Source organism: Homo sapiens, chromosome 7 (assembly GCF_000001405.40).
Source record: "Homo sapiens chromosome 7, GRCh38.p14 Primary Assembly".
In the NCBI taxonomy this organism is placed as follows: domain Eukaryota; kingdom Metazoa; phylum Chordata; class Mammalia; order Primates; family Hominidae; genus Homo; species Homo sapiens.
The window spans coordinates 86,827,991-86,842,150 of record NC_000007.14 but is presented as its reverse complement, the minus strand read 5'-3'; the positions used below and the strand labels follow the sequence as shown (position 1 = coordinate 86,842,150).

The 14,160-nt window shown below is 36.5% G+C and overlaps 1 protein-coding gene across 3 annotated transcripts in view; it reads right to left on the bottom strand.

Annotated features, from left to right (window-relative positions):
- GRM3 (glutamate metabotropic receptor 3) overlaps window positions 1-14,160 on the bottom strand; it is a 220,971-nt gene that overhangs the window by 22,729 nt on the left and 184,082 nt on the right. For 2 of the 3 annotated variants that reach the window (NM_000840.3, XM_047420268.1), the window contains one exon: window positions 2,246-3,312. The exons of the other annotated variant lie outside the window; for it this stretch is intronic. In NM_000840.3, the coding sequence (NP_000831.2) occupies window positions 2,246-3,312 (1,067 nt within the window). The remainder of the gene's footprint in view (window positions 1-2,245; window positions 3,313-14,160) is intronic. 3 annotated transcript variants of the gene reach the window in all.

The window sequence follows — 14,160 nt, the reverse complement described above, 5'->3', positions numbered from 1 at the left end:
AAGCCACAGGCCAGGCCAATTAAATCAGAATCTCTGAGGCTGTGTCCCAGGTATCAATATTTTTTTAATGCTACACAGTTGATTCAATATGCAGCCAAATTTGAAAACCACTACATTGGAGGCTTCAGTCTACCTTTCTCATTTCTTTTGTAAACTTAGGATTGGCATTATTTCTGAGACTTTAAATGATCTTAGCATCACTGGATACCTTAATTATCACGGACCTTAAAAAACTCTATTCCACAACCTCTGTCCCATTTCATTTGCCTTATGACTTCTTCTATGTGGTGAAAGTTCTGGTGTCTTCAGCTAATTCCATTCAGTCAGTTGTTCTACTCTATTGCTATCATGTAAAGAAGAAAGTCATTTTTTGTGTGTCTTAGAAGTAAATGCTAATTCACTCAATAAAATTAAATTTTTATAATGTTATTTATGTTTATTCTCAGTAGTATTTTCTGCTCTGTCATTTTTTTAACCAGCTCTTTTGAGAATGAAGAGTTTCAAATCATATGTCCAGGACAAAATAATTAGTATTATAACTACTTTGCAGTCCCAGTACTCCAAATCATGTCTGCTAACAGTGGCTTCCTAAAAACTTAAAAAAAAATCCTACAGATATATGGGACTAGATGTATATATAAAGACAAAAGATAGAGATGGGGCATTACAATACATTAACTATAGTTCTCCATGTTAATCCTCAAATTCTAACACTCCAACTCCCCTGTAGTTCATATACTCCACTCTTTGACTTTGCCGATCAGCTCTGATGTTTCCTCTTTTTAAAATTTTCCAAAATTTTTATAGGTAGTCTTGCCCCACAACATTGAACTTACCTTCTTCATCTTTATTGTTCATCCCTTAATGTAGCCCATAGGTTTCAGTTACATAGTTGTGAATAATTTACAGCGAATAGATACAATATACTTTGCCAACATCTTGATTCCAAGCTTTAAACAGATTTGCCTTTTTTTAACAAAAGTATTTATCTATTTTAATTCGCAAAGAACAATTGTATACATTTATGTACAACATGATGTTTTAAACATGTATACATTGTGGAATGGGTAAATAGAGCTAATTAACATATGCATTACTTCACATACTTACCATTTTTTATGCTAAAAGCTCTTAGAAATTGACCCTCAGTGATTTTTAAGAATACAATGTAGTCACCATGTTATACAACAGACCTCTTGAATTATTCTTCCTATCTAACTGAAATTTTGTATCTACTCTGTCTTCTTTTTGGGCTGCAATTTTCTAGATTTTGGCGATGTAGGAATTGCTGGTAAACAGCAGATTTGAGGATTTTTACAACTGATGGAGGCACTTCATTTTGTGAAATCATGGTGCAGCAAGTAAACCATTATGCTTCTGGAAAACTTTAATCTCTGACAATTTAAGAAACATAGAGAATAAAAAACAAATACCTGAAGAGAGAAACATTCTTATACTCACTCATTGTAAGATACTGAAATCAGAATTATAAAATGCTACATTTTATGTAGCATTTTAACAGTTTGGAATATTATAATGGAATGAAGAAGTTTCTTTCAAAAGAGATGGTAATTATAAGGGAGCCCATAAATTTGAACTGTATATTACTAATACCCTATTATATGTTAATTAGGTTACCTGGATATGTACAGTAAAATTTTTAACTAGTTAAAGAAAAATATATATGTACATATAACTAAAGCTATAGAAAAGACATAGCAAATTAACATTGTATTTTAATCTGTTTTAGAGAAATAATGAAGCATGAGTGAAAGTTTCTATCTTTAAACTTATCCTGGCTTAATATTGCAAGTGTATTTTAATTTACAGATTGATCCATGGTAGCCGAGTCCTCCTATATCTAATTTAAAGTATTCTCAAATAGATTCACAATTAGATTCTTAGTTTATGTCTTATTCTATTGTCAATCGCTTTTTAAGTTTAATTAACATTATGTGTACGTGTATTACATTTTATCTCCCACTAGATTATAAATTGGGTAAATGACCGTATCATTTATATTTCTCTTCCCCTCTGTGCCTAGCACAGTGCTCTGCATGTGGTAGGTACTAATTAAATGCTATCTACATACATAATTAATTTTAACATACAATATACAGGCTCATCATGGCATTTGAAATTACCCAACTCGTTGAGATGAAATAAAAGGAGTCTATTTTAAATACTACACAAGAAACACTGGAGGAGAAAGAACAAGAAAAATAAGAAACAATCAAAGACTTACTCTGTAGTCACTTGATGTCACATAAAATATAGGGAGGAAGGCCAACCAGATGATGCACGTGGTGTACATGGTAAAACCTATGAACTTAGCTTCGTTGAAATTTTCTGGGCACTTCCGCGTTTTGAAGGCGTACACAGTGCATAAGATCACCAGGATCACATCGTAGGTAAGAGAGATCAACATGCTGGAATCTTTGACATTGCATTTTAGGATGACTGTTTCCCGCTTCTCTGCAAGGGTATACCTCCTGGTGCCTGGGGCCTCCAGGATGAGCCACACAGACACCATCACAATTTGCACCAGGATCAGACCCAGGCAGATGAAAACCTGAGAACTGGGGCTGATGAATTTTGGCCTCTGAGCGCCATTCTTGACCCCATCGAAGATGCGGGCAATGCAGTTTGTCTTGGTCAGCAGGGCTGAGTAACAGATAGCGAAGGAACTCCCCAGCCCGAGTCGGCGCAATGCACAGATGACTGGTGATGGCTTGGCAATGAAGAAGAATGTCATGCAGTATGACAGGCCAACCCCAAACAATAAGATGTAGCAGAGTTCTCGGCCCGATGCTTTGACCAAGGGTGTGTTGTTGTGCTTGATAAAAACAGTTACAACCATGCATGTACACATAAAACCCAGACAGGCAATGGTGACTGGGCCAATGGCCCAGGCGTCTTCCCACCTGATGTAGTCCTCAGGAAGGTCATAGCATCCAGTTAGGTCTGCAGTGGGCCACTGTCCAGACCCACAATCCATACAGGTAAACTCATCAGCCAGGTATTCGTAGGGTTCACAGGGGATGCAAATCCAGCAGCAGACATCCCCTGGTTGCATATTCTTCATTTCATTGGGGGCACAGGGGTCGCTGCACTGGGAAGTGGGGACTGAGTTCCGGGACCAGTGGATAGAGTTGACATCTAGCGATAAGGTTTCTGCCCAGTGACCAACTTTCAAGTAGGAATACTTTCCACCTACATTTTGGAAATTGAACACGTTGTATCGCCCCATTCCATCTCCAAAAGTGTCAAACTTGACTATGCTATCTGCATCTTTATTTGGGTTGAATGGAGCTGTGATATGTAAAGTGAAAGAAAAAAAAGAACACTTGTTTAGGTGTCTTACGTGTGATTAGTCAATTACTTTATGCCATACACTGAAATAACAGGAAATGGTGATTCCAAGGCTGAAATAATTTATCAGTTACCATTGAAAGTTACACTTCAAAAGCTACTAAAGTGCTCATGCATTTATACATTCATTCACTTACCATTACTGAGTATCAAAGGGTGCCAAGTACCGGTGATAATCATGAATACAATACAATGCTTATTATGTAATGGGGGATTTACAAACATGTAGTCATATGTTTTATGATGGGCATGTATTCCCTTCTTGAAAGACTTCATGATAAGAATTGGACAAAACATTGTGTCTCATTCTTATTACGTATTTATTTATGTACAGCCAATAAAATGTTTCCCATCTTAAATATTTTCATGAAAATATAAAACAGGAAGAATTTTTCTGCTTCAAAATAAAGAACATTTTTTGCATTACAGATGCATGATATGATTCTTTTCAATAGTTCAGATGATTCAGAAAGAAAAAAATTAAACTACCTATCATACTTCAACTCTGATAGTTTAATATTTTGGATATTAAATTTAATATTGACATTAATTCTGACTACATATATGCCTGTGTCTATATACAGCATGCTCATATTCACACAAATACATACAACCTAGCTGTATGTAGAATCTACGTAAGTAGACTTTGAAATTTCCTAAGTGAACAGGGTCAGTAGCACTCAGCCAAGTGGGCCACCCTCAACCCTGTCTCTTTTTTACAGGATTCTGCAAGTCCCTAAGAGCAGAAGCTCTGAGCATACATGCTTCCTCTCTTCCAGCTGCTGCTCATCATGTTTGTCTTGCCAACATACACCACCCCTCTGATCACCCATTTCTATGCCACGTACTCTGTTCTACTACTGTGTGCTTCTATTTCACTGCCAATCTTTACTCTTTTCTTAGAATTAGAAGACAAATGTTGCTGATACCTATGTGACACATAGAGAAACTCTGTTACTCATGGTAGGCTTGCCTGTGTTGGTAAATAGACCCCAAATTGTTTATTTCTCCCTCATGTAGCAGTCTAAGATTTTGGTTGCTGGGTGTCTGTCCTTCACATTGTGATTCAAAACCCCAGATTCCTTCCATCTTGAAGCTGTGCCACTGCTTAGTGAAGCTGTGCCCCTGCCTAGGCCCTCCTCTTCATCAGCATCCACCCAGCAGAAGCAGATAGTATAAATATGGCACATATTTCCATTCATACTTCATTGATTAGAAATTAGTCACAGGGACACACTCAACCTTAAAAGAGGCTGTAAAAATGTAGCTTAGCTAATGTGCTCAGCTACTTCCATACTATGGAAAGAGATTGGAATTTAGAGGACGCTGCAGTGTCTGACCCTGTGAGTATTGGCTGTCTTTGTTGCCTCCCCTGCGAGCTTCATTCCACCTTCTCTGAGGCTCAGGCTGCTCTAACTTACAGGGAAACGCTGTCCAGGAAACACTGTTTAGGGAAAACTGGATCCAGTTATTGTATGGGCTAAAAGGATCCTTCAATGAATTACTTGGGCTCTTGGTAAAAAGAGGACTTTATATTTTACAAAATAGCCCTCTCTTGTCTAAAGGATATAGGTGCCCCTAGAGGGCTGGGCTGGGTAGTTTATAATAAAACCTCATACCAGAATCAAGTTCTATTATAAATATTATATGCCCAATTTATTATTCACTTATTGTTATTTGTTTCTTTGTAGTGTTCTTGTTATCTCACCCTACAATTTGACTTTACCAACCTCCACCTCCTTTCTACCACACTTCACAAACCCATCACATATATCTCTTTGTGTCTGTACTCCAGTTGTGAATTGGTTTCAAGTTCATTGTAACACAGGGTGATGTAGTAGTTGAGTGTGTAGTTTTGGGGTTAGATGGACTTTGTGTGATTCTCGTTTCTGTCTTTTAATAATTGTGTGTCCTTCAGCAAGGACCTTTCTGACTCTGTTTCCTAATTTGCAAATTGGGAATAAGAGTTCTTTTGACGATTTGATGAGATAAATCATATAACATGTTAAGCACAATGCCTGCCACACAGTAAGCACTTAACATATGTGTTAGTGATAATGATAATAAAAGTAATAAAAAGAACTTCATGAAAAAGGAAAGCTGCTCATAAAAGTGAGAACTACTGAGGGACAGGGAGGGAGAAGATGGGAGGAGGGAGATGTTATTCAATTCTACCTACTGCTTTATCCAAACCTCACTTCTGACCCAATTCAGAGCCTGCTCCTCCATCCTTTTCCCCACACTTCCATTAGTAGGCATGATTATACTTAGCTATTGTTTTGTAATGTATATTTTTACTTAGTGAAATATTGAGAATTTTTTAAAAAATTAATCTTTTAATAAATTATCTTTATTTTCAATAGCTGTATACTATTATCTTGTAGCTAAGTACCAAGCTACTTAAATATTCTTATAGTTTTAACATTTATGTTGTTTCTAAGGTTTTCCCTTTATAAACCTCATTATCTAGTTATTTACTTAGAGCAAATTCATAGAAGAAAAACTGTTGGGTCAAAGCGTAGGTTCTTTAAAAATTTAGCTACAGATTACTGGCTTGCCAAGGAAAGCTGTTTTTTGTTTGTTGTTTGGTTTTGTTTTACCAACTAATACTCCCATGAACATTGTATGGGAATGTCCATTCTCCACAATCTTACTAACCTTGGGTATTTTTATCTTTTTAATAATTGACAAACTGACAGGAAACACATCTTATTTTAATCTGTATTTATTTCTTTGACTTTTAGAGGGTCTGGTTGTATCTTAATATTTTTAAAAATTATATGTATTTATTTTGTGAATTTCTGGTTCACACATTTTTCGCTTGTTTTCTTTTGGGATGTTTATATGTTTTTAAAAATTAATATGTAGGCCAGGTGTGATGGCTCATATCTGTTATCCCAGCATTTTGGGAGGCTGAGGTAGGTGGATCGCTTGAGCTCAGGAGTTCAGGACCAGCCTGGGCAATGTGATGAAACCTCATCTCTACCAAAAATACAAAAAGTTAGCAGGGTGTAGTGGCACATGCCTGTGTTCCCAGCTACTCAGGAGGCTGAGGTGGGAGGATCACTTAAGTCTGGGAGGCAGAGGTTGCAGTGAGCCAAGATTGTGTCACTGTACTCCAACCTGAGTGACAGAGTGAGATCCCATCTCAAAATTAAAAAAGTAAGAGCTGTATATAAACTGAACATATTAAATGCTTGTCATATATGTATATATATATGTTGGAAAGATTCTTCTAACTTTGTGCTTTTTCCCAAACAGATTGCTAAAACCTTAGGTAACTGATTCTATCCATCTCTTTCTTATAACTACTAGTTTACTTATCAGTCCAAAAAATCCTTTCCTACTCCAAGATTATTAAAATATTTATCTAAACCTTTTTCTACTACTTTTATGGCTTTCCTTTTTATATTCAAAAATTTAATGCACTTCAAATTTACTTTAAAGTATGAGTTAGGATTTCAATTCATTTTTTTTCTCAAATGGCTAACAATTTAAATACTAAATAATAAAATATCGTACACCTTTTAAAATGTATATTACCATACAATAATTTATAAGTGAAAATTATAAAGTACTAAGTTAATAATTTTCCACTGATTTATAATACTTGTCATATATTAAATCCCCTGATACCCAAATTTTTATACCATTTCTTGTTTCTCTTGGTCTCTTTCCACAGTTGTATGGTCATTTTATAACTACCACAGTATTATACTAAATTTTAGTATTGGTTAGGACAAGTGAACACAGGAGTTGAAACATTATTACTATATTTTCAGGTATAGTAATCAATATCAGAATTCTTATGTCACATAAAACTAAATTTGTTTATTCTATGATTAGAGAAAGTTCATTAAGAATTTTAGGAACTCCTTTCATGTTACAAATAAGAAAAATATTGAATATTTTAACTCATTTGATATCAGATGTAAGAATAAGAACCCTCAGGTTCTTACTGTGTTATTAATTTCATTATTATCAAGTATGCACCCAACCTCTACCAATGTTCAGTTGATGTTATTAGATAATTTCTGGTAAGCACTTCTAAAGTAATATGTTTTATATCTTTAAATAATTCACTGTTCTCATAGCAATTTTTGAATATAAAGTTCTTAAAATTAGTGTACTTAACAAACAATAAAACTGATTGAAAGAGACTAAAACAACCAGAAAATAAAAAAAAAAAAAAATGGAGAAAGCAGAGCAGTGCAGGATGTGAAGTCAAAGTCTTCAAAACAATATGCTCAAGAGAGATAAGTGAAGATATTGCATCCATGAGGTAGGCACAAGATATCCTTAAAATGAATATTCAGGGAACAAGAATGAGCTTTTGGAAGGCAAATAGCAGAAATAGAATTAACATAAAGACTGAAAGATAAATTTGAGAAAAATCTCAAAGTTTGACCAAAATGCTGTGATGGCAAGTAGAAAATACAACAGGAAAAGAATTACTCTGTGGAATTTCAACATGTAACCAACAAGAGTTCCAGAAAGAGAAAATGGAGAGTAAACATTATTGAAAGGCAAAGTGAACACCAGTGAAGAGTAGACTTAGCTTGGGGAAGGATGAAGCAAGAAACTTTTCTGATTTCTTATAAGTGTGTTTATATTCCTGTAAAAACTATGTACATGTATTATTTTGATAAAAAAGAAATTATAAAGTTAAAATAGTATAAAGATAATTAAGCAAGGTCAGGCAGAGTAGCTTTAAAGTAAATAAATTACAAAAATAATGCTGCTACAAATATTGGAACAACTGCTTGAAAAGTGGGTGGTGAATAAACAAATGCTACTTTTGGTGGAATGTTATTTTTTAATACATTTACCTTTTACTAAATTTGTTTTGTTAATGTGTAAAATATGTAACAAAATTCAGTCTAGTTTCTACATCCTTCAAATACATAAAACAAATTACTTCAAATGCATACATTACAAATTCTAAACAAAAAAAAGCCATTTTGAGAAGAAATGCTCTGCTCCTTAGCTTGTAATAAAGATCCTTAGGTTGCTCTGTCTGTACTAGAATGGGAAAGAATGAAATAAGAACCAAGAAGAAAAAGGTGAACCACATATGTCAAATATTCCACATGTGAGAAAAAATCCTGTCCTTGAACGGTTATTTCGAACGCAATGGCAATATTGACCTGGGTAATGAGGAAGCAAGTAAGAAAAGCAAGCTCTTAGGTGCTGCTGGAGTGGCTTCAAGTGGCAGAGAGCTTGAAGCCCTAGTGTATTGATCCTGTTGCCTTCCTGGTGCATTTAGAGTTGCCTCTAAGTCAAATGACTCACTAGGAAAATAGAACCCTGTGAACTGAAACCATGATTCTCCAACAATCAGTTGTATAGTTCTTTTTTTTCTTTATTATTATTATTATTATTATCATACTTTAAGTTTTAGGGTACATGTGCACAATGTGCAGGTTAGTTACATATGTATACACGTGCCATGCTGGTGCGCTGCACCCACTAACACGTCATCTAGCATTAGGTATATCTCCCAGTGCTATCCCTCCCCCCTCCCCCCACCCCACAACAGTCCCCAGAGTGTGATGTTCCCCTTCCTGTGTCCATGTGTTCTCATTGTTCAATTCCCACCTGTGAGTGAGAATATGCATAGTTCTTTGGCGTGAAGAAACTCCAGGGAATTTGCTGTTTCTCAAGTTAAGTCTCACCATGGGAGTAAGCATCATCAGAAATGGAAAAATACATCACTTCACCTTTCACTGGTGTTGCAACAGCATGAAAGAAACCAAACTAGAAGGGGAAGAAAAAGAACAACCAGGAAGATGGAAGAATTTTTTATAAAAGACTTACAACCTTCTCCAAACTCTAATTTCAAGCTCCTCATCACTCGGGTGCTTCAAAATCAGGTCTTCACTTTCAGAAGGAGTCGGATGTGGCTTTGGGTCAGGAGAATCATTTCTCGGGTTAGCTTATTATCCAATTAGTTCTGACCCCAGTTTCGAATGGGAACTTGGCTTGAATACCAAGGTGACCAGTCCTCCTAGGAATCATTTGGTAGAGAGGCAGCAAGTCTATACCTTAAAGATATCATAAGTCAATGGCAGGAGAGATTAAATTCATTATTTTTTTCTTCTCAGACAGAAGTCCAATTAAGGTAAGAGAATAGTGTGGCTCTTAGGCCTTCAGTAAAGGGAATATTACCTCCACTGCTTGGGTTCGCATTCATAAACACTGATAAAGATTGCAAAAGCTACTAGCAGTGGCCGGGCGCAGTGGCTGACTCCTGTAATCCCAGCATTTTGGGAGGCTGAGACAGGCGGATCATCTGAGGTCAGGAGTTCAAGACCAGCCTGGACAAAATGGTGAAGCCCCTGTCTCTACTAAAAATACAAAACATTACCTGGATGTGGTGGCACACCTGTAGTCCCAGCTCCTTGGGAGGCTGAGGCAGAAGAATCGCTTGAACCCGGGAGGCAGGGGTTGCAGTGAGCTGAGATCGCGCCATTGCACTCCAGCCTGGGCAACAAGAGTGAAACTCCAACTCAAAAAAAAAAAAAAAAAAAAAAGGCTACAAGCAGGAACATGGCTCCAATTTTACAACCAGGGCCTCATTAATGTTTCTGTGAACTAATCTGATGAATCAGAATTAAGATATAGGTGAAAGACAGTGTCATCTCCCTGGAAAGACTATGTTAGAAGTCAAGAGGTAAAGAAACCAAAATCCTTTGGTTAGAGCAAACAAAATATTTTACGAACCTCATGCAGCAAGAAGATAGGAAAGAATAAGAATGAATCACTGGCTGTCAGTAATTAGTTTACTTACTGATTAGGAACAAAATCACTGAAGCCTTTCTCACAGTCATCAGCTGAGTATAACAGCTGGGACAAAGCACCACTTAGATGTCTTCAGTACTCAGTCTTACGTGTGGAAAACACTCAGTAAATACGTAACATGCCACAGAGAAAGTGAATGTTTGAGAAAAGATACTAAAATAGCTTTTTTTTTTTTTTTTTTTTTAACGGTGCTATGACTTTTGAAGAGGACTCTCTTCAGTTCCCTTGAAATGTTACCATGGTTAGTCTTCATTATAAATTTTACTGGTTTTTCTATCTAGATTCTACGTATTATTGTTGAAATTGTCAATACTCTAGGCAACTCAGAAACAATCTACTCTCAGACTAAGAAGGAAGAATGGGGAGGTAGGGGCATAGGGAAAATAGAAATGAGTGGAAATTATGGAGATTCCAATCCTCCTACCCGCAATTCAGGGGACAGGGCTAACCTGATTTATTTGAGCTGAAAGTCCATAGTGGTCATTGAATCTTTGCTTAGGGACCTTCTTTAATGTGAACTACAGATACTATCACATTTTTTTCCTACCTTCTTTTCCCCAACTCTTGCCCTCTTCATTACACAGTGTACTGCTTTTTTCTCATCTGCTCTAATAAGTGTTTAGATTTGTAAAAATTTTCATTGAGTTTTAATGCATACAAAAAAAAGCATTTTGAAAAAGTGGGTTATCATGAAGTGAACACACACATGTAACACTGTGACTGTTAAGAAACAGAGCATTACCAGTTCCCTTGTTCCCGTCCCTATCATTCCACCCTTCCTCAGCCCCAAAGGCAATCACTATCTTACTTTCTACAACCATTGTATTAGTGTATTAGGGCTGCCATAACGAAGTACCACAAACTGAGTGGCTTGAGATGACAGAAGTTTATTGTCTCATGGTCTGCCTGAAATCAAGGTGTCAGCAAGGTTTGTTTCTTCTGAGGACTGTGAGGGAGAATCTCTCCCATGCCTCTCTCTTAGCTCCTGGTGGTATGCCGGCAATCTTCGGTGTTCCTTGGCTTGTTAATGCATTACTCTGATCTTCCACATTCACACAGTGTTCTCCTTGTGTCTCTGTGTTTATATTTTCCCTTTTTGTAAGAACACCAGCCATATTGGACTGGGGCCCACCCTAATGACCTTATTTTAACTTGGTTACCTGTATAAGCACTATTTCCAAATAAGGTCATATTGTGAGATACTAGGGTTATGACTTCAAAATATCTCTTTTTGGGGAACACAATTCAACTCATAACAACCACAGACTATTTTGCCTGATATTGAACTTTATATTAATGTAAGTATGTATTATTTTGTATCTAACATCTTTTGTTCAAAATTAAGCTTTATGAAATTCATTCATCATGTAGTGATGAGGAGCTCTAGTTTATTTTTATTGATGCATAGTATTTTATCATATGATGTGCCACAATTTATCCATTCTTTTGTTGATGGACATTTTTAAAAAAATTTTCTTTCAATTTTTAACTTATATAAACAATGTTCTATCTTTAGCTGGGTTATCCTAGAAGCAAACCCCAAGACTAAATTTGAATTCACGTAGTTGATTTGGGAGGTTATAGGGCAATGGAGAAATAAGACAAACAGGAATGAATCCAATACAGGATGTGTCAGTGACCAAGTTACTGCTGAGGGCAAGTGGGTCTCAGCCTCACTGGGGCCTTGTGGGAGACAGTGGAGTGGAAATTGGGACATAAAACCCCAGCTTACTCATCAGCTTGGATGGGACAACTCTCATTTGTCATTGGTTTATGGTAGAGTGGTAACTTCATGGCATTTTTGGTATGTTCTCTATAGGTAGAGGCTGTCTGACCAGACAAAGCTCTCTGGCAGAGAGTCACAGATACTTCTATTGAGAAGCCATTGGCATGTCTGAGAATAGTGAGTGGTAAGAAGATACAAGTGAGGCACTGACAGCATTTTCTACATGCTACCTTGAAGACTCTTGTATATAAATTTTGGGATATACATATATAAGCATAGCTCATTTTATTGTACTTTGCTTTATTGTGCTTCACAGATATTCCTTTTTTGTTTTGTTTTACAAATTGGAAGTTTGTAGCAACCCTGCATCGAACAAGTCTATCAGTACCATTTTTCCAACAGCATGCTCTCACTTCATGTGTCTGTGTCACTTTCTGGCAACTCCTCTTGCAATATTTCAACTTTTTCATTATTATTATATCTGTAATAGTGATCTGTGATCAGTGATCTTTGATGCTATTATTATAAATGTTTTCAGGTGCCGCAAACTGTACCCAGGTCAGATGGTGATCTTAATAAATGTTGTGATTGCTGATTCTGATTGCTTCACTGACTGGCCATTCCCCTATCTCTCTCCATCACCTCAGGCCTCCTATTCCCTGAGACACAACAATATTTACATTAGGCCAATTAATGACCTTATGATGGTCTATAAGTGTTCAAGTGAAAGAAAGAATCACTTAAAGTCAAAAGCTAGAGACGATTAAGCTTAGGAAGGCATGTTGAAAGCTGAGATAAGCTCAAAACTAGCCCTCTTGCACCAGTTAAGCAAGTTGTGAATGCAAAAGAAAAGTTCTTGAAGGAAATTAAAAGCACAACTCCAGCAAGCACACAAATGGTAAGAAAGTGAAAGAGTCTTATTGCTGATATGGAGAAAGTTTTACTTGTCTGGATAGAACATCAAATCAGACGCAAGATTCCCTTAAACCAAAGCCTAATCCAGCTCAAGGTCCTAATTATCTTCAATTATTTGAAGTCTGAGAAAGCTGAGGAATTGCAGAAGAAAAAGCTAGGAGAGGATGGTTCATGAGACTTTGAAGGGCTCAAGACTTCAGTGGAGGAAGTCACTGCAGATGAGGTGGAAATGGCAAGAGAACCAGAATTAGAAGTGGAGCCTGAAGATGTGGCTGAATTGCTGCAAACTAAATGATCAAACTAAAACAGATGAGGGGTTGCTTTTTATGGATGAGCAAAGAAAGTGGTTTCATGAGATAGAATCCACACCTGGTGAAGAAGCCGTGAACGTTGTTGAAATGACAAGAGAGGATTTAGAATATTACATAAACTTAGTTGATAAAGCAGTGGCAGGATTTGAGAGAACTGACTCCAATTTTGAAAGTTCTATTGTGGGTAAAATGCTGTCAAACAGCATCACACGCTACAGAGAAATCTTGTGAAAGGAAGATTCAATTATTGTGGCAAACTTCCTTGTTTTCTTATTTTCAGAAACTGCCACAGTCACCTCAGTCTTCAGCAACCACCACCCTAATCAGTCAGCAGCCATCAACACTGAGGCAAGACCGTCAATCAGCAAAAAGAGTATGGCTTGCTAAAGGCTGGGATGATTGTTAGCATTTTTTAGCAATAAAGTATTGTTAAATTAAGGTATATACATTGTTTTTAATACATAATGCTACTGTACACTTAATAAACTACAGTATAGTGTAAATATAACTTTTATATGCACTGGAAACCAAAAAACTTATGTAACTTGCTTTATCGTGAATTTTGCTTTATTGCAATGGCCTAGAACTGAATGTAAAATATTTCTGAAATATGCCTATATGTGTATGTGCAAAAGTGTGTATATAGTGTGTATGTATTTGTATATAATAGTAAATTGTATGTGAGTTTCAGTTGCTTCATATGCTTCATAATGATGTCATTTAATTTTAGATATTTGAGTGAAAATGTACCGGTATCTCGTTGTGATTTTTTTGGTAGTTAATTTGCATTCCCCAATGCCTAATAATATTGAGCACCTTTTCATAAGTCAATCAAATGTCTATAAATACCCTTTTATAAAGTACCTTTTCCAGTCCACTTGTATTGGATTTTTTTTTTTTTTTTTTTTTTTTTTGATACGGAGTTCTGCTCAGTCGCCCAGGCTGTAGTGCAGTGGCACGATCTCGGCTCACTGCAAGCTCTGCCTCCCGGGTTCACACCATTCTCCCGCCTCAGCCTCCCGAGTACCTGGGACT